This window comes from Homo sapiens, chromosome 16 (genome assembly GCF_000001405.40).
Source record: "Homo sapiens chromosome 16, GRCh38.p14 Primary Assembly".
Taxonomy (NCBI): domain Eukaryota; kingdom Metazoa; phylum Chordata; class Mammalia; order Primates; family Hominidae; genus Homo; species Homo sapiens.
This window is the reverse complement of record NC_000016.10, coordinates 65,635,650-65,659,535: the sequence shown is the minus strand read 5'-3', so window position 1 is coordinate 65,659,535 and position 23,886 is coordinate 65,635,650. Positions and strand designations below refer to the sequence as shown.

General features: G+C 42.7%; 2 annotated features.

Annotated features, from left to right (window-relative positions):
* Positions 632-1,831: an enhancer, noted in NCBI's record as "CDK7 strongly-dependent group 2 enhancer chr16:65691608-65692807 (GRCh37/hg19 assembly coordinates)". NCBI's record gives its function as "activates an origin of replication core promoter dependent on BRD2, BRD4, P300/CBP, MED14 and CDK7 cofactors, with strong dependence on CDK7, by STARR-seq in HCT116 cells {active_cell/tissue: HCT116}" and the evidence as "EXISTENCE:reporter gene assay evidence [ECO:0000049][PMID:35650434]".
* Positions 2,923-3,422: an enhancer, noted in NCBI's record as "NANOG-H3K4me1 hESC enhancer chr16:65690017-65690516 (GRCh37/hg19 assembly coordinates)". NCBI's record gives its function as "activates a minimal SCP1, AML or CMV promoter by ChIP-STARR-seq in primed H9 embryonic stem cells {active_cell/tissue: H9 hESC(primed)}" and the evidence as "EXISTENCE:reporter gene assay evidence [ECO:0000049][PMID:30033119]".

Sequence of the window (23,886 nt, the reverse complement as noted above, 5' to 3'; positions counted from 1 at the left end):
TTTAAACACTAGGCAGAGGTTGCAGTGCAGCCAACCTAGACTCCCAACCAAGAAGGAAACAGGGCAGGGATGAAGTTTTGAGTCCATCCCTCTGCACCTTCTCCATGGTCAAGATGTTGGTGTTCTTGGGGCTTTGGTAAAATGTGTGAATATGCTATAATTCTTGAACTGAACTGCTTTAAATTTCACTAACTGCTCCCCTGTGCCTCTTTTATAATGATTCTCCAATGTCCAGAAAGTCCCACCTTATGTTTGTCAGACAAGCCTTTCCTGCTGGTTCCAGGTAAAAAGATCCACACTTTGCCTTTGAGTTCCCGGGGCACCCTGTCTCACCAGTGAATCACCTGCCACTTGTGGTATCATCTGGCACTTGTTGGATTTTTTGTGTGTATAGCAGTGCCTGGTGCCAAAAATGCACAAATGAATCAATTCAGAAGCATGTCCATAAACAGCTTATATCCTACAATACTGCAAAGAACTGCAGCTGGGCCACCTCCATCATCACTCCTTACCCATGTACACATCATCATGCAGTGTCCTAAGGATTTCACACATCATCTCCTTTAATGATGAAATCATTGGATACTGATATTAACAACACTGTATGGTAGCAAAACAGACACAGTCCTTCTCCTCTTGGAGCTTAGAGCCCGGACAGAAGGCAGCCAGTCAGATAGAGAGTAGGTCTGTAGGACAGGCAGAATGCAGGATGCTGTGAGAGCCCAGGACCAAGTAGCTCATCCACACTGGATATTCCAGTAAGGATTCAGGGAAGTGCATGTTACACAAGAGACCTGCAGTACAGGTAGGAACTGGCCAAACCAAAGGAAGTCGAGTGTTCCAGGCACAGGGAATGGAATGCAGGAAGGGCTGGAGACTTGGCTAGACCCTGGAAAAAGGCTGAGCTGGAATGTGCAGGCTTTTTGATCTGGATCATTCTGGCAGACCTAGCTGCATTGACCTAACCTCCAGATGGCTTCCCTTGCTGTTGTCTGCTCCAAGCAGTGGGATGTGGTAATGAGGAACTGCCTGCGGGCCTGCTCATGAGTCTTCCGGGTTTGTCCTGGACGGGTGTCCTGACTTAGTGAGTCAGCCCCATTTTCTCATTTCCTGTCTCCTTTGAAGGTTGTCCAGGCAGCAGCCCAGCCCACCTGTGAATTCCCAGTCCTCCTGCAGCACCCCCAGTATGCTGGCAAAAAGAGGTGCTCAGGAGGCATAAGCATGTGGCTGCACATCCCTTGCTATTGATGCAGATTTCAATCTGTCACTTAACCTCTCTGAGCCTTTCAGTCATCTCCCTTAGAATGGCAATAATGGCTGGGAGTGGTGGTTCACGCCTATAATCCCAGCACTTTGGGAGGCTGATGCAGGAGGATCATGAGGTCAGGAGTTCGAGACCAGCCTGGCCAACATGGTGAAACCCCGTCTTTACTAAAAATACAAAAAATTAGCCAGGTGTGGTGGCATGTGCCTGTAATCCCAGCTACTCGGGAGGTGGAGGCAGGAGAATCGCTTGAACCTGCGAGGTGGAGGTTGCCGTGAGCTGAGATCTCACCACTGCACTCCAGCCTGGGAGACAGAGCAAGTCTCCATCTCAAGAGGGAAAAAAAGAATGGCAATAATGTACCCACATCTTTGGCTTGTTTTGAGGATTAAATACAATAGCATATGTAAAAGTAGCACAGAGTAGGTGCTTTCTCTTGCCATTGCCTTCCATCTCTTTCCATTACAGAACACCCCAGAGCTCATGTACTGCTCATTCAACTCCAGCTAATTTTAATGTTGCTCAGCATTGTGGAATGTCAGCACCATGCCATTCACTTTGCCGCACTGCTGTCTCTCATAATGTTATAATGGCCATTTTACAGATGAAGAAACAGAGGCTCAAAAGAGATAAAGTTACTTGCCCAGAGTCCCAAACTAGTAAGCTGGAAATCAAGCCCCAGCAGTCAGACCTCAGAGCCTGAATTTTTCCACTTCACCCTGCACTTTGTCTCAGCCCCTTCTCAGTGGGCAGGGGCTGGTGGAGGCCTCTGCTGTCCTTCCTTCCAGTTCTTTCTTAATAGGATGCTATTAGCAGCTGACAAGCAGCACTGGGAGAAACACACAGTTGTAAATAACCCATTGTAGGAGAGCAGGAGGGCAGTTCTTGACCCCACATCCTGATAAAAGTCATTTGCTCCCCAGGCTCCCATTTAATTTGGAGGAACATATGCACGTTGTCGGAAGTGAGCCTATGTGTCGGGATTCAGCTCACAGGCATAGGCAATTGTTGATTACATCAAACACATCCCCAGGCCTGTGAAGGAGGCAGATTCGGGTGTGTTGCCGGCATTTGTGGTTCCCTTTGGGGAAAGCATCTGAAGTCTTTTCCTGGGGAAATCCCTGGGGTGGTCTTGGATCAAAGCCAGGTGGCTCTGCCTACTTTTCCAGAAGACAGGACAGGCACGAGTACAGGGTTCTTTTCAATGCCTAAAAGTGCCAGGTTTGTTTCCTATGTCATCTCATTTCATTATCCCACGAAACCCACAGGGGAGGCTTTATAGAGGAACAAACGGAGGCTCCAGGGGTTAAGTGATTTTGCTCTAAGTCACACAGATAATAAGCGAGCTTAGATTCAAACTCAAGTCTGTCTGGACTCAAATCTAGGCTTGTCTGCCTGTCTCCAGCTGGGCAATGTCTTAGGGGCACATTGTGTGCTCCAGGATTGAAGTGGGAGCTGGGGGTGAGGGATACACGGCTGCCAAATCTGCCCTCAACAAGAGCAAAACACCAGCAACAACAATGGTCCCCACCATGGACATGTGTGGGCATTGAGGCATCGCTCTACCTCTCCATCTCACTGCAGCCTCCCAGCCACCCTGTGGACAGGACCACTGAGGTACCTGAGGAATTAGGAAGCCTGGTCATAGGTAGTGGGGCTCAGGTGAGCAGTCAGCTTCAGGAGGCCCCCTCGGTGTTAGGGTGGTGTCAGGGCAGGTTGTCAGGCAAGGAGACTGCAGGAGGAGACTGCTGTCTGTGACTTGGACTGGGGAGCTTAGGCAGCAGGAACAGGGACTCCTGAATAGGGCCCATGAGTAGGGGTGGGATGCATTTCCTACACAGGGGACAGTGAAGGCAAGGGGGACAAAGGGCTTTATCTCTAGGTCGGCAGATGTCTAGGGACTCAGTTTTTTAGGACATAGGCTGCAGCTGTCATTGGCACGAGGAAGAAACTGAGTTCTCAGGAGGAGGCTTGGGATCAGGGTCAATGACAATGGTGAAGTTCTAGGTTGACAAGTAGGAAGTCATGCCCTCTGGGAGGGGCCAGCTTTTCTTCCAGGGGCTGGGCTGAACCTCTTGGTTGGGTCCATCAGTCCCAGCTGCACGGATGGGAGGCAGGTGGCTGCAGCCAGCAGCCAGAGTGTACCACCCACTGTCTCTCTAGTTGAGGGTTCGATTTCTCCCCTGTCTCCTGCAGAGCAGGTGGCTGCTGACTTCTTTGAAGAATGGAGCCTCACTTCACAGCTGGACACTGCCTAAACTTAAGAACCATTAGTGCTTCCAGGAACGTACCCCCTGGGGGACAAGGGAAGGGGAGGGGATAAAGAGATGGCCCTCCCTCTGCCTGGCCAAGCACTGCTCAGCTACCCCTGCTGTGGGGAAGAAAGGTTCTGCCTGCCTTTTTATTAAGGATTGTGGATTTTTCCAGCACATTACAGAATGACCCAGTGTCTCTGTCCTTAAGAGGAGAAATGCACAAGAAATGTGAGAGTTTGAAATTAAACGGGAAGGAGAGAGGCAAGGAAGGAGACTCAGAGAGTGGCAGACATAGCTGGGGCTGGAGTGTCTGCTGCCCACGCTGGAGTGAACTGGCTCAACACACCCAGGCCTCCAAAGAGGAGTTCATGCAGAAGTTGTTTCTGAGCCATGCAGAGCATCATCTCTCTGTTCTTATTCTCTACAAATAATTGCTCTACACTCACCCTGCACATGGCTCTGCAACGGTAAGAAAGGGGATTGGCATTAGGCGAGCTGAGGTCTAGATGGAGGGCTCTATGGAAGAAGGAGAATTGAGCCTGGTGCACTTTTTCTATGTAAAAGCGTTTTTCTCCTATTCGGTGTGTGCCTGGTTCTGGCTTTCACCCATCACCACCCTAGGAATCTTCCCTCCTCTGACCACATTTTTAATTCCTGAGTCTTGAATATATCCTCATTCTCATTCTCTCTTTCTCTTCCTCTCTCTTGCTCTCTCTCAAAATTACTCCATTTACAAAAGTCTCTTTCAACAACAGATGCCACAAGAAGCACCTCCAAACGTTGGATCCATTCATCTCCCTTTGAGACTACTCTTCTTTGAGATGCCTCATTCATTTCCGGGTCAATTGTCTTAAGAGAACTATCCACATTTATTTGCTTCATTGTACTGCATTCTACTCATGTGTCACTATCACTTTCACCACCCCGAGTCTAAGGCAGTGATTTTCTAAAATCCAAGGAACCTCCCAAGTATCACAGCTGAAGGACTCATTACTCCTCATCTTACTTGGCAACATTAGATGTTGTTGCTCATCATTTTCTCTCCAAACTTGTACTTTGAATTTGGTAATTCCCTCCTCTCTCTTCTGGTCCTTCTATTTCTCTGCCCACTTCTTTGGGTTCTGGGGATCTTCAAGGCTCCTTCCTCACCCCTCCTGTGGTCTTAGTATCTATATTCTTGAGCAGTCATCTACTGATCATGATGACATCCAAATCTCTTCCCCCTAACCTGTCCATGGAAGTCCACAAAAATGTGTGGCTGCAACAGAGCAGGAGTAATAATTTTGGTGAGACAGGATAAGGGATGACCAGGGTGGGTGTTTCGAAACATAGATTAATACAGGAATTAAATGAATTGTTGAAGATGTGGGAAAAACAATAGCCTTTTGATTCAGTTTGGTTAGGAAACAGAATTAAATTAGAAACTCATGGCCATGTAGTTTTATGTGCCTGTTTCCTAGCCTACTGTAGGAGCTTAATAAATGTCAGCAGAATCTAACGTTGATTACTTAGTTGTGCATGCATGTCTTTTTTTCTCCAGACTTTGAAATTGGATGAAGAAATGAAAGTATCTCTCTTATTGTTCCAAGATTTTAAAAAAGGTCGATAAGCAAAATATTATTTATTAAATGACTAGAAAAAGAAACGGACAAGATAATTAACTCATAGAAAGGAAGGCAGATCTTCTTTCCAGCTCTTCATTTGGTGTTACCTTCTTGAAAGTCATTCATGCCACAGTGCCTCAGTTCTGTTTTGTGCTTACCCTGACAGGCATCCTTAATTTTTTTTTTTTTTTTTTTTAATGGAGTTTTGCTCTTTTTGCCCAGGCTGGAGTGCGATGGCGCTACTTCAGCTCACTGCAACCTCTGCCTCCCGGGTTCAAGTGATTCTCCTGCCTCAGCCTCCTGAATAGCTGGGATTACAGGCGCCCACCACCATGCCCCAATAATTTTTGTATTTTTAGTGGAGACAGGGTTTCACCACATTGGCCAGGCTGGTCTCAAACTCCTGACCTCAGGTGATCCACCTGCCTTGGCCTCCCAAAGTGCTAGGATTATAGGCATGAGCCACCATGCCTGGCTAATTCTTAATTTGAATGACAAACACTCACTGGAGTAGTGAGTTTGATTGTTTAAACCTAAAAGTTAGTTGAAAAAAAATCAGTTTAAATCATTTAATAAAGAATCTCATTTGTCTCTAACAAGGTCGAGAAAATAACTTGTAGTTTAGATCCCTATTGGTGGGATCTGAAGATTCCAACATCAATGAAGGCAATGGAACCAGGCTGAAAAGTCGAAATCATTGTTGAAATACACTCAACATTTTCAATTAAAAAAATTAATTGTGGTAAAATACATATAGGATAAAATTTACAATCTTAGCCACTTTTTCAGTGTTAAGATGGTTAACCCATAATTGTTTTAAAGTGACTTCAGTGAAACTGTACCTATTCAATAGTAATTCCCAATTTCTCCCTCTCCCCCAGCCCCTAGCAGCCATCATTCTCCTCTCTGTCTCTATGAATTTGACTGCTCTAAGTACCTCATTTAAGTGGAATCATACACTATTTGTTTTTTTTCTGAGTGCATTATTTTTACTCAGCATAATGTCCTCAAGGTTCATCCATGTTGTAGAATATATCAGAATTTCCTTCCTTTTTTAAGGCTGAATAATATTCCATGGTATGTATACATTATGCATCCAAGCCTTAACTGATGAGCTTCAAGTTGGAACTTGGCATAAGGTCTTCTTTTGTGTCACTGCTTAAAGGAGTTTCACAAGAGAGAAACATGCAGGTAAAAACAGATTCCCTTTCCCCCCAAACCCATGCTCACTTTAATGGCCTTTATGTTCACTGAGTTTATGTTCCATTCTTCATCTTTTAGGGTTCAATAAAGTCTTCTGGAAAAGAGAGCCTGTCTTAACTATATGAAAAGGAACAAAGGAAGAGATGAATGCCTGGACAGAGATCTTAAATAGAAAACAAGACACCACAGCCTAGAGTCTGTTGTAATGGTGTCAATGTGAAGCAAATTGGGTTGCCCCAAAGGGAAAATAAAAAGCTAGAGTCAGAGCATGGGGTCACTGAGTTCTGACATGCCAGCCACCCACAGGGACGACTCTTGGAGTTTTGGTCTTAGTCTTCCTTACACATTCAGAGTGCTGGCAATTCTGTGCTGGGTTTTTATATTTTCTCAGATCATAGCATGCAGGTGGGAAGGCAATACTCAAACCATGCCTAACCTTAGGAGCCTCTCCCCTTGTGGGATGAGAACCAAGCCTTTGATATATTGCTGTTTGGAAAAGAATGCGTTGTGTCCCAATTTCTATTTTATGGTGTCCCTTTGTTCTTACAGTGCTGCTGTTCTACAAAGGAGTGTTTCTAGAAACGCTGGATGCAACAGGAAGCTTTGAAATTGGAAAAAGTGAGGATTCCATAAGCCTATTTGGAAACTAAGATTCTACCTAGAAGTTAAATTTATTTTGGAAGGGCATATATTGATGTTTTCCTGCCCCTCCCATAATCTCTCTTCTGTCTCTCTCATCTCTCTCTCTTTCTTTCTCACACTCACATACATACCACATGGGGAAATGACTCTTGACTCTTGCCCTTGTCCATTGAAAGCATGGCCCGTGCCTGCTGGCTCTCTGGACACCTTTCAGGCTTGCCTCCAGCAGCCCCTGTGAATAGCTGAATTACTATTCCTCACCCTAACCTCAAAGAGAGGTTGTTAACAAAGCCTAAGGATCACGGAGCCAAGAAAGCCAGTTCAGAGGCAGGCAGAGCCATGAGGATTGCAGCAGGAATATAAATGGCTAGTTCTTTCTTCTCTAAAGAAGGATTTTAAAGGTTATCAAGTTATTCCCTTTCACATAGAAAGCAGAAATACCAGAGACTAGAGTTGTTGAAGGAAAGTTGACCAAAAGTTTAAAATGGTCAGGAGGTTTAAGAGAGGGAGCTATTCCCAGCAAACTGAAAGGGAAGAATCTGAACTCAGCCAGAAAAATGGGGTTCCTGGTTCAAGTTGCAACCCCTCCAGGGTCTGGTGAACTTGAGAAAATATGTTACTTTTTCTAGGTTTCCATGGAAAGATGCTCCATTTGGTTTCAGGGAAACCTGGACTTACTGAGGTGCAATCAAGCTCTAGCTGTGTAATCCTAGGTACGATGTCTTGCCATCTTTCTCAGTTTCCTGACCTCAGTGTGGAGATTATAAAGCCCCTTCACTTGGGGATGCTTTTTCAAAGAAAGCTCTTAGCTTGCTCAAGGCAGGCGAATGTCATTCCCAGACCCTGCCAATGATGAGGACAATGATAACTAAATGGCACTTGCTAAAAATCAGAATGCCCCCCTCCCTCCAATGTAGGCACTTTTTGCACTGTGCCATGGTCATTTTTGAAAGAAAGCTCCTAACTAAACCTAAGCTCACCTACATATGGCTCCATATTTTGGCTTGTTTTATTGTAGATGTGAAGCGAATGAAACCTTGTCCATTCTGGTTTCTTTGAGAGCATGCTTATATTTACCCAACATGTGTTCTATTTTCTTGTAGCATACGTCCTTCCCCTGCATTTCAAGGTAGAAGAGTCATTACACCTAATGAGAGTTTCTTTCTAGCTCGTGTACCACTTAGGATGTTCAAGAGTGTGCTCCAATTTTCACCTTTCAATGCGTCTTTGTAATGGCATGTCACCCTTAAAAAATGAGATGTCAGCTTCCCATGGGAAGGAATGGACACTTATTTTCAACCTGAAAACCACCACTTGTCCTTCTAGGCACCTCATTCAGGTTGACGATGTTATAAAACACTGTGAGATGGAAAGGCAGGGTGAATGCTGCTTGTGGAACTTGGCCATTCTGCTGGGATCCACACTGTGAATGAATTAAGTGCGTATGGGTTGACACATTCTCATTGTGTTTAAGCACTGTTCTAGGATACTGAGTCACATCACTATGAAATGCATCGCTGGCAATGCTATTTGTTAAGAAGCTTCAGTATCACCTAAGTGAATTAATGCTGCCAGCAAAGGCATTTTAAGAATTAATGTATTAAAAATAATTGTCTTGTAGTGTGCACAAAACTCGCTGGATGCATCCTGCTCTTTTTTGTTGTTGTTGTTTTCTTTTTTTGTTTTTGTTTTTGTTTTTGTTTTGAGACAGAGTTTTGCTCTTGTCCTCCAGGCTGCAGTGCATGGCACAATCTTGGCTCACTGCAACCTCCGCCTCCTGGGTTCAAGTGATTCTCCTGCCTCAGCCTCCTGAGTAGCTGGGATTACAGGCCTGAACTACCACACCCTGCTAATTTTTGTATTTTTAGTAGAGATGGGGTTTTACCATGTTGGCCAGGCTGGTCTTGAACTCCTCACCTCAGGTGATCTGCCCACATTGGCCTCCCAAAGTGCTGGGATTACAGACATGAGCCACTGTGCTCAGCCCATCCTGTTCTTTTGTCCCTATGGTTAGGCAAGTAGGCTGTTTACCTCTCTTCATTATCAGAACCTTCTTTCTGTTCACATGGAGCCTCCCTTTGCTATCCTAACACACCAGGCTCTTTGCTGACTGGTGAAACCCTGCTCATCTTTAAAGACCCAGCTCAGGAATCACCTCCTCTCTGACTTCCTCCCGGGTTCCTTGGGACAGAGAAATTTGCTACCTCCTTTTTCAGAGATCCTCCAGTACGTTCTCTGTAATTCTACAATGGCATGCCCCACACTGAGTGGTACTTGGCTGTTTGTATGTCTATCACTTCTCTTGGACTGTGTGCTCAGCACACTTTGTGCATCTTTTATCAGCAATGCCTACCAAACAGTGCCCAGGATATATTTGACATTTTTTAGAATTTTGATTTAAAATATCCAAAAAATGAGAGGCTCCTAAGCAATGTCAAAGCTCGATTCAGGTGGGAAGAGCCAGGACGTGACTCTGCTGAAAGATAGCTGGAGTGAAAAGGGACTTTAAGTTCTTTACAAGGAACACTCCCTTTTGCAGGGGAGTTGAGAGAGGACTCGAAAGCCAAGCTTGCTTGCCCACGGGTATACGTGATCCAGAGCTGAATCCACCACTCAGAGAATAATGTCTTCTGACTCCTGCAGAGCAGCTTTCCTTCCACAGCAGGACCATTGAGGCATCATCCTGAAAAACATGAAGGATGTGAAGCAGTCATTGCTGAAGGACATGCCAAGAAGTAAAGAGAGATGCAGCCTGGCAGTCATCCCACTTCATGTATCCAACTCCCTCCATAGCAAGGTCAGACCAAGAACTAAGATACGTGGGCTGGAAAGGAGGGTGTCAGCTCTGGAGCCCCTGTAATGATGATGGTAATGGGGCTGATTGCATTTCCGACTCCCATTTCCCCTTCTATGTCTCCTAAGCCCTTCATTTTAACTCATGTCCGTGTTCTCCAGGAGGCCCAAAGGGATGATCCATAGTGATCCAAGTCACTATGCAGGCTCCACCCCCTTGCTGAAGGTTGGAGCCAGCATGGACATGGGTCTCAGTTCTGATCAATGACACAGGAGCACCCGTCTTCTGGTAGAGCGTCCTCACTGTCAAAAATATACCTATGTAGGGTTGCCAGATTTAGAACATAAAAATGCAGGATACTAGGTTACATTGTAATTTCAGATAAATGAAAAATAATTTTTTAGTATAAGTATATTCCATGCAATATTTGGATGCCCCATGCCACCTTGAGGAGATATCTTCCTCCCATGTTAGCCACACTCTCCAGGTGTTTGTCTATGAAATGCTCGGTCCAGGAGCAGAGTCACACACAGCATTAAAACTTCTCACGTTAAAAGGCTCAGACACTTTGAATAATGACAGATTCATATTCACGAAATATATCTACTTGAGTTTCCCTTTTGTTTTGAAGAACTGCTTGGTCCTAAAAAACTGAATTTTTTTTTGTCTATTTTTCCTAATACCAGCCTCTTCTTTCCTCAGCCTCCAGTAACGTTGGCCTTGTAAATAGATATCATGTTTTCTATTGTGCCTGGAAGTAGGGCTTTGAGAAAGTCTTCTTGAGCTAGGTAGAGACATCTTTAGACATCTAGGATAGCGAGTTGGCTGAATGGTGTTGCGTGGTCAAGCCACTGATTTGCTGCCTGCCATAGAAAATTCACTGCCATTATTTCCTCATCTGAAAAATTATTACCTGCCTCACAATGTTTTTGTGAGAATTTTAAAAAGGTAAAATAATAGAGTGATGAGCAGAGTGATGGGACAGGGTAATTTTTTTTTTTTTTTTTTTTTTTTTTTGAGACAGTGTCTTGCTCTGTGGCCCAGGCTGTAGTGCAGAGGCACCATCTTGGCTCCCTGCAAACTCCGCCTCCCAGGTTCAAGTGATTCGTGCTTCAGCCTCCCAAGTAGCTGGGATTACAGGCGTGAGCCACCATGCTGGGCTGATTTTTGTATTTTTTTTTAGTAGAGATGGGGTTTTGCCATGTTGGCCAGACTGGTCTCGAACTCCTAACCTCAAGTGATCTGTCAGCCTCAGCCTCCCAAAGTGCTGGGATTATAGGCATCAGCCACCGCCCCGGCCATGGGACAGGGTAATTGTTTTCTGAGTGATAACTTTCTTCCCACACATTACTTGGGGCCATGGCCTGGCTGTGTGATCCTAGAATCCTCTCTGTGCTCTTGCTATGTTGACCGCTGCAGGTCTCTATCAGGCTAATGGTTAAAATGTTATGAGGGAACATGAACAGACTTGGAGCCAGGAGGCCTGGATTTCTGCCCAGCCTCCCACTGCTAACTAGATAATGAAGATTGGGGAAACAAATTAAATCCAGGAAACACAGCTACTGAAATGAAGTCAGTGGTGATGATGATGATGATGACGATGGTAACAAACACTTGTATAATTTTCATCAGTTCACAAGCTTCTTGGGGGAGATCTATATTCGATAATGAGACATGAGTCTGTTGATTTCATTCAATCAATAAGCCTATTTGGAGCACCCACGTTGTGCAGAACCCCTTGCTGGGTATAGGGTGTGCAGATGTAAATAAGACTCGGTACTTGACCTTACAGAATACCAGGCTAGTAGGGCAGATGGCTGATAAACTTACAATGGCAATGCCATATATTAAGAATTAACCAGGTGTCATACAGAAAAGTTTGGGGGCACAGGTGAGAATCATGTACTTGAGGCTAGCTGGGAGGAGTTCGAGCAGGGGTTTCCACAGGCCTGGCTCCTTCCATGAGAGCAGAGTGTGATAGGAGGGAGGTAAGCAAATACGAAGAGGAAAAAGAAATGGATGTAGCTATCTTCAGGGTTTCTCTAGGCCCTTGAGAATTGTTAATTTTACTCTAGCAATCAGAGCAGGCAGCTGATTCACTAGCAAGATTTTGTTAAGTTTAACTGCTCTGGGTCAGGATCTGGGGCCTATGTAGTTGCTACATCCTCAGGCTACTCTGACAGATCAAATCAAAAATTGGTACATTTCAGTGGCTTCCTAATGAAGTTCTGGAAGAATTTTTAAAATATAATGCACTTTGAAAACATATTTGCATCCAACCCAGAGTCAAAAATTAAGTCTTTAATAATTCAGCATACTTTGATCCAATCTCAAAAGTGAATCAATACATGATAGAGGGGTGTTAGCCACGTGAACCACACTAATCAGACTTACAATCCAGGAGATATCACATGGCATCATTAAACATGAAAACAGAGGGCACATTTGTGCAGATCTGTCTCTTTTCCTTGTCTGAAGTTTATGTAAGAAAGGAATGTATCAACTTAGACATCTCAACAACTTAGAGCGTGCAAAAAGCTCTACTCAAGAGTTTTCAAGATAGTTGGAAGAAGCTGTCCTACCATGAGAAGTTTCCTGGGTGAGAAAATGGGGGCAGTTTAAAAGCCTATATTCAAGTAAATAAGGGATATATTCAAGGAACTGTGACAAGGCCAGCTCCCAATGCATGCATTTAAAGAGTTAGGTAATTATCTTTCTTTATGAGTGACTCTTTCACCTTAAAATTACACATAGTTTCTAGAATATTTCAGGTGTTCTTCATTTTTTTTTTTTTTTTTAAGAAACAAACCATCCTAAATCTTAGTGGCTTAAGAAAACAACCTTTTATTGTTCTTGTAATTCTGCGGGTTGGCTGGTTCTTGTAGTCTGGGACAACTCAGCTGATCTCTCTGGAGCCTATGCATGCATCTGTCATTAGCTGGTTGGCTGGCTGGTGACTGGCTGACAGAATGGTCTCACTCAAACATCTCGCAGTTGGCAGGATGTCCTTCTGGGTGCCTTGGTTTTCTTCTGCATGGCCTACCATCCTTCAAGCGGGCCAGCTTGGACATATTTACATGGAGGTCTCTGTGGGGATAAGTAGATTTGGGTGAGGGTGGAGGGGCTGATATAAAACAAAGAGTTTGACTTTGAACATCTTAAGATTGGGATGCCTGTTTGACCTTGAAGTGAGGATGTAGAATAGGCAGTTAGATATTAGAGTTCAGAGTTCAGGGGAGAAGTCTGGGTTAAAGGTATATATTTGGAGGTCATCTGCAAAGATACATTTAAAGTCATGAGACTGGGTGAGCTCAGCATGGGAGTGTGAATAGAAAAGGGGTCTGGGAATGAGTCCTGTGGCTCACTATAGTCTAGATGTTAGGGGAGGTTTTGGGGAGGGAGATGTTTGGTCTCCCTAGGAGGGAGACCAAGACAGAGTGACCTCCCAGAAGTTGAGTGCGGTTGAGTGGAGGAGAAGGAAGTAACCACCTGTGTCAAATGCCTGCCCATGTATCAGTATGAGGCTTGGGAGAGTGGCCACTGCATTAGCAACACAAAAGTCATTGGAGACTTTGACAAGAAATGAGGATGAAAGACATATTGGAGTAGTTTCTAGAGAGAATAGAAAGAAAAGGGTGAGAGGAAATAGAGACAGCTTTTCCCCCAATATTTCACTTAGAAAAATTTCAAACACACAGAAAGCTTGAAAGAAAGAAGTACACAGTGTATACCCACATACACACTATTTAGATTATATCATTAATCTTTTAATAGATTTGTTTTCTCACATATCTATCTATCTAATCCTCTATCCATACAGAGACCCATCTTTTCTATATTAGAGGAATAGGCAAGTAGGGCAGAACTGGAGGAAGATGGGGGTCAGAAGAAGGTTCACCCACTCTGTGTGTGTGTGTGTGTGTGTGATTGTAAATATAGCAGCATGTTTATATGCTGATGGAGATGATCAAATAGCGAAGGTGCAATGGATGATGCTGGGAGAGTTAATATTTGGGGTGATGTGTATGGATAAGTGAAGGAGTATGGACTTTGGGTGCAGCAGTGGAGAAATTGGCCTTGGGTAGGCTCTTCTGCAATAAGGAGAGAGGGAACAGAAAATAAAGACAGATGCATGCAAGTGTTCTTTACAAGGCCTTTGACACTTTGGGCAGGGGACTGGACCCAATGGCCTGACATCCAGCACCTCCCTGTACCTGTCTTCTGTCTACGGCTCTCCTGTCGACCTGCTTCTGTGAAACTTTGGAGGAGTTGCATAACCAATCGCTCAGGTCTTCTGGGACCTCAGCAGCAAAATGAGTGTAATTATGAATATCATACTTACACTACAGGGAGCTTTGGAAATTATACACTGGGGATGTAGATTTTGTTGTTGTTTTTATTATCCACACTTAACCAGAAGAGCTTTGCAGGCTGTTGCAGCTGTGTCTCCTGCCCCATGCAACATGTTTTCCCAGTCCAGAAACTCAAATACTGAAAGAACAACCCAGCACTTTACAGACTTTGTCTGTCCCTCTTTAAGATCCTTTCGTGTTTAGCTGCTGGATCAATATCACACTGGAGGGCAAGTAGCTTAAAGGATGTGCCAGAGAACTGGAGTCCATTTATGCCTTGGGGTGGTGTCTTTTTCCTGCACCTAAGGGCAATGCTATTGGATGACAACTGTCTTTTATTCCTTCTGTTTATCCTCTTTCTGGTCTTGGGACCCTAGAGCACACTCTGAGGCCTGGAACGCATTGTTGACTTTAGCTGCTGTTTATTCTAACAAATGTGCCATCTTTATGTCAAAGTTCCTTTGTTCTTTCTGTAGCATTCTACCCCTCCCTCCACTGCCTGGCTTTATTTAGGTCTACAGAGAAGATAAGTGGGTGACCTGTCACGAGCAACCATACACCACAAAGAGCATCTTACTGTAAAAATATGCTAGATATATTTAGTGCCACTTAATTAGAATTAGCTAATTCATTGAATTCATTTCCCTTTCTTTATGATGAGGTTTTAAATAAAAACTCAAACACTCTATGTTTGTATTTATTACACGGCTTGAATTAGGATGAAATCTGGATTCTCTCACCTTGAGCAAGATGTGTTACTACTCAGCCTCAGTTTTCTCATCTGTAATCTCAAGAAAATAATGTTTTCCTCACAGGGATGCTGGAAGGATTGAGAGAGATGATGTATGTAAAAAACTTTAGCACAGTGCCTAGAAAACAGAAAGGTTCACTAGATATTGGTGTAATGAATCCGTTAATGAGGACACCACTGGCAATAATGAAATTAAGTAAACAACCATATTGATACTGAGTGCTTTTTACATACTAGACTTGGCGTTCTGTGATCTTCATGGATTAACCATGACAGACAGAGGTTGGGAAGATACTGTTCTCATCTTTGAAAGTTAGCTCTTCTCAAAAATTAACATGTCTAATTAACATTCAGTAAAACTTAGGCCTACAATCTCTATATTAATAAAGTCTGCATTTTATCCTATTTCACTTTAAAATTATTGAATGATTCCCAAAATAAAATTTGTCCAACCAGTTTTGAATTTCAGATAAACAAAGGATAATTTTTTAGTATATGTGTGTCTCATATATTCAGACATATAATTTTTTTAGTGTAAGTACGTCTCATATATTAAGACATACTTATACTAAAAATTTGTTTATCTGAAATTCAAATTTAATTGGAAATCCTGCATTTTTATTTGCTAAATCCGGTGACCCCAGACTCTAGGAAATGCAACATGTACGTGTGTGTATGTTTGTGTCCCAGAGGAAACAAAATCTTGAGCATAACGTTCAAGGTAGTCAGTGTGACAACAGGTCAGAATGACCTCCTGAGAGATAGGATTTCCCAAACTCTGATATCTAATTTGGGGCTGGATAGCACCTACCCATCCCTTCTCTCAGTTCTGTATCATCTCCCTCATGGTGGCCTTTTCCTTTCTTCCATATCCTTCAGCCAAGCAATAGTATAGTCTTAGTTATTACTTCTCCCGTTAGATGGTCAGGAACTATATCTGTTCCATTCATCTCTGTATCTTTCTGCCCAGCAGAGGGTCTGGAAGATAGTAGGTGGTCAATAAATTTGAGCTCCTGTCTATAAAGCCTGTCTCTATAACTTGTTGTGTTGGTACCATATTATAGCCTGCTCTTTATTCGTTCCACAAAATTTCATTGACCATGTACTATTGCCAGACTCTCTGCCAGGCAGAGGGATACAGGAATGAACAAAACAGTATAGTTTCCAACCATGAAATGGAGAATCAATAGCTAAGAATGCATGATTACTTAGCTAAGGGCTAAGGATGAACATGGGGGTTTTAGGTTTGTCTTGCTCTGTGCCTGTTTGCACACCTATTAATGAGATGATTGCATCTACCTCAAATGATTATATTGAGGGGAAAATGTACATCCACATCTATGTCTGTGTCTCTGTCTAGATCTTTCTATATCTGTAGTGTGTGAGTGTGTAGGTGTGTGTGGCTTTTGTGCCAGTAAAAGCAAGTGGTAAGCATTAGATTTGCTAAATTAATATCCGTTTCTTTCCATTTCTTTTATATTAGAAGACTACAGCTATCTGTGCTTCGTTTTCAATTTTTCCTGTTTTGTCAGGTGAGGGATAATACCTTGACCAGAAAGGGTAGTGAAGGCCAGAATTATTAGCATATAAACTTTTAAAATTATTTTTTAGAATAAACTTTAGAGAATACATGCTCTTGGCTGCTGAGGGACTTGATCACAGACTCAGGCAAATATTGCCACTTGCACCTTTTAGAGGGCCTCTGAAAATAGGGTGCTAATGATTTGACAAATTCTCTCTCTACTTTTCCCTTGGAGTCCCCAGAGTTTCAGATGGTTTAGGGGGCAGATGGTGATGAGATCGTGCAGATGACTGTTGTCTTTCATGAGACACATGATGTGTGAGTCTGGAGTCAATTAAAACTCTGAAACTAAATGTCAAGATCCAGGGAATTTGTACCAATATTAGACTCCCTGCTCCTTGGGAGGATGGAGTCTGACACTCTGAAAAATGGCTAGGGAGTTAATAATAACATCTTCTAACACATTGCTTTTGTTATTTGGAGCTCATTGCTTTTTTAAGGAGTTCAAAGTCATTTACCAGTTCAGTATGAGACTAGGTATTAAATGCAAATCCTAGGGTGACATAATGGTTTGGTTGAGAACGTGAATACCCAAAAGTCATAGAATTCCAAAAATGAAGCCATGTGGGTACTCTCCCTGGCTCATATGCACTGTATGCCCCTGGGAAGTGCTAGTTCAATTATTAAGCGTATGAGTGTGGATGCATTGAACTTGCTATGGAAACATAGCCTTTTTTGTTTTGTTAGAGTGTATTGAAGTCTACAGCCCAACTATCTTCGTGTCTTTACAATCCTTCCAGCATCCTTGTGAGGAAAACATTATTTTCTTGAGATTGCAGATAAGAAAACTGAGGCTGAGTAGTAACACATCTTGCTCAAGGTGAGAGAATCCAGATTTCAACCTAATTCAAGCCCTGCAATAAATACAAACATAGAGTGTTTGGGTTTTTATTTAAAACCTCATCATAAAGAAAGGGAAATGAATTCAAGATAGCTAATTCTAATTAAGCAGCACTAAATATATCTAGCATATTTTTACAGTAAGGTGCTCTTTGCGGTGTATGGTTGCTCGTGGCAGGTCATCCACTTATCTTCTCTGTAGACCTAAATAAAGCCAGGCAGTGGAGGGAGGGGTAGAATGCTACAGAAAGAACAAAGGAACTTTGACATAAAGATGACACATTTGTTAGAATAAACAGGAGCTAAAGTCAACACTGCACTCTCTTTACAAGTTAATGAAACCTCACCACTATAGATTTGTCATTCACTTTTCTCAGAGGTTTGTATACGTATGACCAGTTGTACCTTGACTTCAAAGGTTTGAAAGGGAGGAGTCTTTGAATGGTCAGCACAGAAGAACATGGTCAGAAATTCAACCAGATCTACAGTTTCCCCGCCTTCCCTTGCTCTATCTGAGGACTTAAAACCATGAATTGCCCAGGCCTTTCACAACCTTGCATAGTGTAAACTAGATGCATTAAATTATACACATTCGTTTCAGACCTACTCATCTCAGATAACAGCTCATTTTAGTATAACTTTTCCATTTAATGAGAATGCCTTTTAGAGCTCAGTTTGGCAGCCCCTAATAAACACAGCCTGAATAAGTAGAGATCCAAGGTATTAAAAATTGGTTTGTTGAAACAAGAAACACCAGCACATGAATTGGATAGCAGAATGGACCCAGCAATAATTCAAACACATAATGGAAAGCAAATTCATAGAATTTAACAATCCAATAAGTTACTAGGCTGAAAAATATTCTTTCATGTCATGTAGAAAAGAATAAATGGATAATTAAATCCATGCAAGACACTGTGATAAAATCTTAAGTCACTAAAGAAAATTCTGAAAGCTTCTGGAGTGAGGTATGGTGGAGTAGGTGGACAAATTACTTATAAAGTGATGTGAATCAGGTTGACAACAGACTTCTCAGCAGCAGCGATGAATACAGCAGATAATGGAGCAATATTTTCAAATGTCAGGGAGATAATTAATGTTGAATCTGGATCACTATACCCAGTAAAAGCATGATTTAAGTTTGAGAGTAAAATCAACAGATTTTCTGATATGCAAAGATTTGGAAAATTTACCATGAGCAGATCTCCTTGAAACTAATTAACAACAAGGGGAAAAAATAAACCTAAGAGAAAGAAGTCAGATAAAGGAAACAATGGTGAACAAACAAACCAGAAAAAAATTCTTAATTTTAAATGTCTTGAGTTTTTAAAAATTAATTTTCTGACTAAAGTATCTCTGCTGATTTCAATATACAATAAGTTGGGGATGGGTAAAGGAGGCAGATGGAATTTACAGCATGCTGAGATTTGTTTTGTTATGTGGAGAATATAGATGCTGATCATCTCTAAAATTGTTCAGATTTGCCTACATTTAAGTATTTTTATTAAAATACGTAAGGTTAAAAATTAGAAAAACAGATCAAGACTACAAACCCCCAGACCACTAAAGACCTAGGCCTAAGGAAGAAAAGCAGAGGAACCCCAGGCAATAGAACTTAAGGAAGGAGCAAAGGATAAGAAAATGACCAGAAAGAGTGGCAAATAGAGAATGTTGGTTTCAGTAAGTCAAAATACTTATACTATGAATGAGTTAATTTCACTTAGAAGACAGCGATTCTCACCTTTAGAGATAAAACCCAATCCTGCTGTAAGGCATTTGCCACAGAAACATAAAACCAAAATAGCAAAAGAAGGTTGATGGTAAAGGGGTGTACATATTTCCATACGTCAGAGGCTAGAGTACATTTGGGGAGGGGGCAGAGAGTAGGACCAGGTTCAGATTATGCAGGGGTCTTTAGGGAGTGTAAGAAGCCTGGATTTATCCTGAAGGGAAATGGGCAATGTAAAGGGAAATGGGTGATATAAATATAAACATTTTAGTGAGGCCAGGTGTGGTGGCTCACGCCTGTAATTTAGGCACTATGAGAGGCCAAGGCAGGTGGATCACTTGAGGTCAGGAGTTCGAGACCAACCTGGCCAACATGGTGGAATCTCATCTCTACTAAAAATATGAAAACTAGTCAGGTGTGGTGGCGGGCACCTGTAATCCCAGCTACTTGGGAGGCTGAGGCAGGAGAATCGCTTGAACCTGGGAGGTGGATGTTGCAGTGAGCTGAGATTGTGCCACTACACTCCAGCCTGGGTGACAGAGTGAGACTCTGTCTCAAAATGAAAAAAAAAAAAAAAAGATTTTAGTGGCTTAGATTTACATTGGAGAAAGTTTATTATGACAACTGGGAAAGATTGGGAGGAGCAGATAAAGCTTATGATGGGAGAATGCTTTGGAAAATCTAGTCAAGGAATTTATGCATAAAGTGTTAAGGAGTTGGACCATGTTGTAGCAGTGAGGGTAGACAAAATGTGGTAGGTACAGTATTATTGATCTTAAGAAGATGTATCCAAGAAAACTGGGGATGATGTGAGGGAGAGCTGTAAAATGGCATGCTGGTTGTTGAAGAAAAATGGCAATCTTTACCAATATAAGAGACACAGGGAGGAAGATATTGGAGGGGAGAGATGATAAGACTGGGCCTTGCTGCATTGTGAAGTTCAGTGATAATTGAATTTTAGGATGTGGAGTTTGGTTGTGTACAAGTGGTAAGGGGGTGATTACTTTCCTTCCCGTAATAAAAAGTCATAGCTGAAACTCTGATAACAAAAGGCAGGTCAGCAAGAGAAAAACATAACATTTGTTACATATATACATGTGCATGGGAGTCATACAAAATATGAAAACTCCAGAAAAAAACTAGATGGTTGACACTTAAACATGCTATCCATTGGGAAGAGGAAAGTAGGGGGCATAGGAGTACATGATTTTCAGGGGAAGTGAGTAAACCCACAGACAGAAATTTAATTGTAAATGTTTCCCTTTGGAATTTGAATGATCCTGAGGAGCGCACATTTTCTTGTGAGAAAGTCCACCTAGGTGTGGTTGAGGCTCTCTGTCTTCTTTTCTGTGATAGATATTGAAATTTCTGGGGGAAGATGGAAGACAGCTGTCTTCCTCTTTGAGGGTCTGGTTTCCAGGTGGGTAAGGGAACTTCAGAGAAAAGCCTCATTCTGTGCTTTGTGAGAGACAAGTCTTGGGTCTTTCCTTTTACATTCAGTAGAGAGAACAGGCTAGTGAAAATAATCACATCTTCCTACATCCAATTAGGACCTGTGAAAGCTTGACTAAGCAGACATGAGTGTCTTCCTTCATTCTGCATCTGAATTCTTGAGCCCGTGTGGTCACGTGAATGGTGTAGATGAGAAGGGAAATGGGATTTTTCTTGATGTCTTCTGGCATTAAATGAAGCACTAATAGTGAATGATTATAAAAATTAAGAAAAGGAGTGTTTATAAACATTGAGAAGCTCCTTGTTGCTCTCTGAAGAAAAGCAGCCCCTGGCTAAAATGGTTGGTAGTTATTCTCATCTTGAGTGACTAGCTGAATGTCATAATGACTTGATAGGCCACAAATGACCAAGCTTTCTGAGTTTTCCCCAGCAAAGAACCCCCGACTACCACTTACAGTAGAAGTGGAGGAGCATCAGAATGTGGTCTGCCTGTAAATTTCCAAGACCATCGAAACTCCCAAAGAGTTGGGGAGTTTCTTGTTTATATTTGTTATGCTGTTGAAGGGTTTCCTAGATTCTTCTTCCTCATGCTCAAGGCAACTGTGTTTCCAAATCTGTCAAGAAGAAATTCAGATGAAATTCAGTGACCCTGTTCCCAGTCTCTGGAATTTACTGTACTTTTCTAAAACTTTAAATTGTTAATGGGAAAGGCTTCCCAGTGAAGGTGATTCATGAGCCACAACTTGAAAGAGGAAGATATTTTCTAAGAGTAGAATGACTTGGAGTTATTCTTCCTTCAGGAGGACTTGATCTCACCCTTCCCCGTGCTTTTTCCACACCACGCAAATACTTCCATTCTGATTCTGGGATCTGCACTGAATTTATTTGCATAACTGCCTCTATCCTTTACTCCTAGAAAATTGCCTGGTATATAAGGCCATGGTAGATTCTTATGGCATAAAGGAATGCAAAGACTGCAGTAGAATGGATAGAAACATCAGCTTTTATCCAACATATCTAACAGAGTTGGAATATTACTTTTTCTTATGAAGTTTCTGTTTTAAAACATTACAAAATAATTCTAAAAGAACTCAGAACTTAGAATCTCCTGGGTAGAGTTAAACAATCTATTTGAATAATGAGCTAATAAGTATGGATGAAAGAATGGATATTCTCGCCTATGGTAATTAACTACAATAGGGAAATTAGGAAGGGAGAAAGAGCTGGTCAGTAGAGCAGTGGCCCCAATTCTGTCTCTATTTTCTTTGAGAAGACAAGGTTTCCCCAGTGGATTCCAGTATCTGGAGGGCCAGAGGGATGGGTCATCTTGAAAGTCTTCCCTAGAAAGATTGGAGCCTCAAAGTAAGAGAGTTGGGCACATTCGTCTCCTTCAATGTGAGCAGCACTGAGTTTATGTGGCTGATGTTGGGTCCTTTCTCTGGTCTGAATGAGAGGGTTATCTTAGTTTCTGACAAACATGAGGGGAGCCCAGGGCTACTTAACCCTGTGTATGTCCCCCAACCTCCTGCCCAAACCGATCCTTTAATCTTCCACTGCAGCAAGAAGTGGAGATGCTCAACATGAGCAACTTCAGACCAGGGAGAGCAGCTGATGAGGAGGAAGATGGGGCCTAACATATTGAGCTTTTATTCTGTACTAGTTACTACTGAGCATTTTATATGCCTAAGACATGACCGACATTGAACCTATAAAACATCCCATGGAGGGAGGTATGCTTACTGCCCCTTTGACAGGTGAGGAAACACAGGTTTACCAAGCTTCACTAGTGGGCTTAGGTGGAAAAAGTATCCCTTAGCTGTGGTATGTGAGCCTGGGAGTACCATTTCAAAATTTTATTTAGCAAAGTTTGCAGTTCAGTGGAAGAAGCTTTTCCGAATAGCTTATCAGACCAAGGGGCCTGAGATGAGAACTGGGGAACATGTGCAGGAGCTGAGGTGGGGTAGTAATGGTGGGGGACAGTCAGCATCACAGTGAAGCCGAGAGTAAGAGCTCCCTTAGTCAAATGGGCTCCAGACCAATACTGAAACCTAGGGACCGATAGCATAGCTTTCTTGACAATACTCTTAGGAGTGTGTTTCTAGAAAGTTTAAAGGTTCATTAAAAGGAATGGAATGGATGATTTTATTGTGAGGACAAGGAAAGTACACGTCAGATGGAGGATGCTGCTTGTTATATTTCAGTGAGGCAATTCTGGGCTAGAATGAGGGCTTTGGAGGCAACAAGGGAAAGTGTGTTGTATAATGGACTAAATATGATCTTTAATCAGGAAGACTCTGAACACTGTATCCTAACTTAACCTGATACTAGCAGTTTGACCTTGGGTGAGTAATTATCCTTGCTGGACATTTCTTGGCTTGTTTTTACAATGGAGACCATGATATTGACATTACATGGCAGGGAGGATTCTGTGGGATAACGTAGGTGAAATGTGCAAAGTGTGTGCCTCCCTTCTTCAATTTCTCTCCTCCTGGAAACATCACCTTGGCTCACAGAGCATGAGAAGAGGTTCATGGTGCATACCCCAATGGAGCAAAGGCAACTCTTTGCAGGGACCCATGATTGACAGCCTCAGCTCCTCCCAGGACTGTCTGTGGGGAAAAAGGGCAGGATGCTGAGATTTGTGCAATTTTAAGTTGGTGCACAATGAGCAGAATTCCCTTTTTTAAGGGTTACTGTGGACTTATTATCCATATGCCCAGGCTGGCATGACCTGGTACCCCCAGGCTCTATTTCAATTGGAAAATAAAATACAGGGAAGGATATGAAACATTTACCTGTTAAACAATTAAGCCCTTTCACTCTGGAAAGGGAGTTAGTTGCACATTGAGACCAGTTCCAAGGAAATAGAAGGGGATATCTGTTGGCCCTTTCCTGGGTCAGAGCCCAGGCTCGCTGAGTGCCTCACAGCTGCTGCCACTGGGAGAAGCAATTTGTCAACTTTATACCTTTCTGCTTTATGATCTGGTGACTTAATAGGATTCGACCTTCCCTGCATTCCATTTCAGTTGGGTCAGACACTGCACTTCAAATTAAAACTTGGGCTCTGAGACAGGTGATGAGGAGCTGGGGAGGTATGTGGCACATGTTGAGAGGGGGCTGTAGCTTCAGGTGCCCTCTAAGATGGCATGATCAACCCTGTGTTCATTAACACCACCCAGCCTGAGACCCTGACTTCTCATAAAGCCATGACCATCTTGCCTTCCTCCAGGCACTGCCGTGACCCTGAGAGTGCAGGGAGTCTAGCCACTTTTCTACCCGTTGAGAGAATGCTTCGATTTTCATGCAACAATGGAGCAAACTTCAAAAATGGGAAGGGACAGTGTCACTGCAAAGGGTTCCTAATATGACCTGGTTCATTCAGCCAACATGCATTTGGTACCACTATATGTCAGTCCTC